The sequence below is a fragment of the Homo sapiens genome, chromosome 4 (assembly GCF_000001405.40).
Source record: "Homo sapiens chromosome 4, GRCh38.p14 Primary Assembly".
NCBI classification, from domain to species: domain Eukaryota; kingdom Metazoa; phylum Chordata; class Mammalia; order Primates; family Hominidae; genus Homo; species Homo sapiens.
In genome coordinates, this window is record NC_000004.12 from 185,441,090 (window position 1) to 185,445,181 (window position 4,092).

The window sequence follows — 4,092 nt, forward strand, 5'->3', positions numbered from 1 at the left end:
ACAGGCATGTGCTACCATGCCTGGTGAATTCATAATGAATTTTTGAAGTGCTTCTCTAGACCCTAGGTCTAGTTTTTCTTAAAACCATAAAAAGCCAAACCATCTTTTAGTTTTTGAAATGGTAATTAAAATTAACTATCTTCCTACTGCAGAAGTTAATAAGTGAGAATAAAAATTAAAATGCTCCAGCAGTTTATAAACCTTAGTCAATACTTTTTTTTTCTGTAAATTGCCTCTTCATTTTTCTTGCGGACTTTGTATTTCAAAGTTTATGTTTTTAATATTGTAAGATATCTTATAAGATCTCTTCATATATTAAGGGTACTAGTCTTGTTTTGTTATTTGTGTTGAAAATAATTTTTTTAATCTGTTGGATCTTTGGTTATGATGTTTTGTGCTGTTCAGGAACTTAATGATTGGATGTAGTCAGATTTATCAGTCCATTGTTGGTAAGGTTTATGTCATTTTCGGAGTGGCTCTCTTTACCACCAATATTAGAATAATGTGGCTTCTTAATTTCTTCTATTAAAAGAAATTAAATTAAAATTTCTACTAAAAATTTAATTTCTTTTAATTAATTTTTAATTAAAAGAAATTAATAATTTTAATATTAAAATATCCTTTTGCATTTAAATATTTATCTAAAACACATTTTGATGTAAAGAGTGAGGTAAGAATCCAGCTTTTATTTAGTTTGGGGGCATGAGAACACTTTGGGCAGGGGGTGAAATGTTCCGTATCTTAATTGTGGTAGTCATTTCAAGGGTTGTAGACATCTGTCAAAACTCATAGCATTGTACACTTTAAATGGGTATAGTTTATTGTAGGTGAATTACACTTTAATAAAACTGATTTTTAAAAAATCAAGCTGTTCCCAATATGACTGATGGAATAATTCATTTTTAACACCATTACTTTGAAATGCCATGTTTATCAAACCAAAATTCTTATTTTTGAAGTTATGTTTCTGAGTTTTCATTCCATTTGACTCATCTATTTGTTTATTTCTGCCCAAAAAACCCTTTTAAGTTCTATTATATTTAATAGTAAGTGGTCAAGTCTCTTCTTACTCTTTAAAAAAGTTATGCTGGTTATTCTGTCATATTCTCCAGAACTTCAGAATTATTTTCTAAAGTTCCAAAAAGGGAAAGAACTTTGATATTTTGTTATAAAATTTACTCTTTTTTTGGATATATTAACATATTTATAATTTGAATCTTCAGATCTAGGAATAAGCTCCTTAACCTTCTATCTCCCTTGTAGAGTTTTGTATTTTATATTGCATAGGTTATATTATATCTTATATTTATTCCTAGTTATTTTAAGGTTCTGGTCAATAAGTATTTTTCCCCATCATATTTTCCTTCATATTATTTGTCATTATAAAAACATTTGATTTTTACAAAATAACTGGCCACTTCATTAAACTTTGTGTCCTAATGGTTATTTTCTTGACTTTCTTTTGCTTTGCAGCTCTATATTATCTGCAAATAATTTTGCTCCCCCTGCTTCTCATATATATGTATTTTTTTATGTCATGCTCATGCCCAATTCCTTAAGCCAGCAGTAGTGGCCATCCTTGCCTTAATCTTGACTTTAATAGGATACCTTTAGTTTTTCATTTTTATAGATGCCAAAAATAGGAATACATCAGGAACGTATGCTGAATTTTATTGAATATACGCTGAATTTTATCAAATGGTGTAATCTATTTAGACTATCCCTTCACTCCCCACTTTTTACTTGTCATAAGCTGAATAACAATATTTCCTGAAATGAATCTCACTTGGCTGTGTTGTATTAATCTTAAAATATAATACTGTGTTTTATTTGCTAATATTTTATTAAGTATTTTTGCAGGAATAATTTGAAGTGTGATTGGTCTGTATTTTTAAGACTATGTATATGCCTTGTTCTATTTTGGTACAAGTGGATGCAGGCATCTTAAAGCAATGGGGGTAATTTCTTTGTGTTTCTATGTTCTATAGCAGTTTAATAGCATTAGAAATATCAGCTTTTTGAAGACTTGAAAGAATTCACAGTGAAGCGTTCTGAGCTTAGCCGTATTACAGGGTGGCTCTGCTAATTTTCTCAATTCTTACATTTCTTTCTCCATCTGTTTTGTGTAGGTTTTCTATCTCTTTTTGGTCAATGTAGATTATTTATATTTTCTTAGAAAATCAGTCATTTCATTCAGGTTTTTGGGGTTTACAGAAATATTATTTTTTATGTATATATATATATATATATATATTTTTTTTTTTTTTTTTTTGAGATGGAGTCTTGCTCTGTTGCCCAGGCTGGAGTGCAGTGGCACGATCTTGGCTCACTGCAACCTCTGCCTCCCAGGTTCAATTCAAGCGATTCCTTTGCCTCAGCCTCCCTAAGAGCTGGGATTACAGGAGTGTGCCACCACGCCTGGCTAATTTTTGTATTTTTAGTAGAGACAGGGTTTCGCCATGTTGCCCAGGCTGGTCTTGAACTCCTGACCTCAGGTGATCCACCTGATTCGGCCTCCCAAAGTGCTGGGATTACAGGCGTGAGCCACAGTGCCTGGCCTATTTTATATTTTTGATATTAAATATAGGTATAGACTTTCCTCACTTCTTTTTCATTCTTAATTCTATTACAGATTTAGCTATGAACTTATTTTTTAAAGCATCACTTGGGTTTATTTAACTTATGTATTTCTATTTTTAATTCATTCATTTTGCTTTTATACTTGTAAATTAATTTATTTAAACTTTCTTAAGTTTTCTTGTTATTGTAAGCTTTAAAATAATCCATGTGTCTTCAATCTGGAAAACCTGAAAACTTATAACTATATCTTTCTTTTTTTTTTTTTTTTTTTTTTTTTTTTTTTTTTTTTTTTTTTGAGACGGAGTCTCGCTCTGTTGCCCAGGCCGGACTGCGGACTGCAGTGGCGCAATCTCGGCTCACTGCAAGCTCCGCTTCCCGGGTTCACGCCATTCTCCTGCCTCAGCCTCCCGAGTAGCTGGGACTACAGGCGCCCGCCACCGCGCCCGGCTAATTTTTTGTATTTTTAGTAGAGACGGGGTTTCACCTTGTTAGCCAGGATGGTCTCGATCTCCTGACCTCATGATCCACCCGCCTCGGCCTCCCAAAGTGCTGGGATTACAGGCGTGAGCCACCGCGCCCGGCCTGTATCTTTCAAATGAATTAAATCTTCATGTATATTTGGCATAGATACTACAAGAAAAGGTGCCTAATTAAATGGGTTATTATGATTCTATAGAATTTTCCTGTGATTATATAGAATATAAAGCTTAAAATTCTGTCAAATCAGTTTAAGAAGTCAAAGCAAATATTTCTGTCTTGTGTACAGGTTGAAAAATATTTTGATTGACTTCTCTTGATAGACTACAAGAAAAGTAAAGTAGATCGAATTTTCCTCTCAACTTTCTATTTCTTTGTGCTATTGCTTATTACTTTTTTTTTAAAGTATCTTCTCCATCATTGACTGGCATTTAGTAAACTCATGTTGTGCCATACTCCTTGTTCCCCATTCTCTATCAAAATACATCTGACCTAGGATTTCCCTTACTAATAGACTCACTTTCTAACTAAGTGATAGCCTAGTCTGATAAACTCTAAAATATTAATGCTTGGCAATAGTTTAGACTGTTACCTTACTATAAACATTGTCATTTTTATAGAGAGATTTTGGATTATGATGTTTTGACCCTATAAAGTTGGTGGTAGGGAGACCTTTTGGTGGTATTTGAATTAAACAGTATCATTTTCTTTAAAACCAACTCCACAGACTACAAAAATATGTATGAACTTCTTCACAAGCTAATTTTGTAGAGGCATTTTACAAAATCACATTAAGTTGTCTCGTTTTTCTTCGCAGCCTGGTGGAATGAAGGCAGGAACATTTGATCCTTACCCATCACATTCTGCTGACCCTTATGTGGCTAAATTGGCAAATATTTCTGGCAAAGATGATAAGATTTTCCACCCACCAAGTGGACCAAAAAGCAGACCAGTTGAAAGTATAATGACTTTGAATGTCAGAAGGTGGGAATATCTTACACTTAGCTTACAAACTAAGAAAAAATTGTTTCCAAC

At 32.9% G+C, this 4,092-nt stretch overlaps 1 protein-coding gene across 10 annotated transcripts in view; it reads left to right on the forward strand.

Annotated features, from left to right (window-relative positions):
• CFAP96 (cilia and flagella associated protein 96) overlaps positions 1–4,092 on the forward strand; it is a 41,393-nt gene that overhangs the window by 32,656 nt on the left and 4,645 nt on the right. For all 10 annotated transcript variants that reach the window (XM_017008239.2, XM_017008238.2, XM_017008240.2 and 7 more), the window contains one exon: positions 3,875–4,041. In XM_017008239.2, the coding sequence (XP_016863728.1) occupies positions 3,875–4,041 (167 nt within the window). The remainder of the gene's footprint in view (positions 1–3,874; positions 4,042–4,092) is intronic.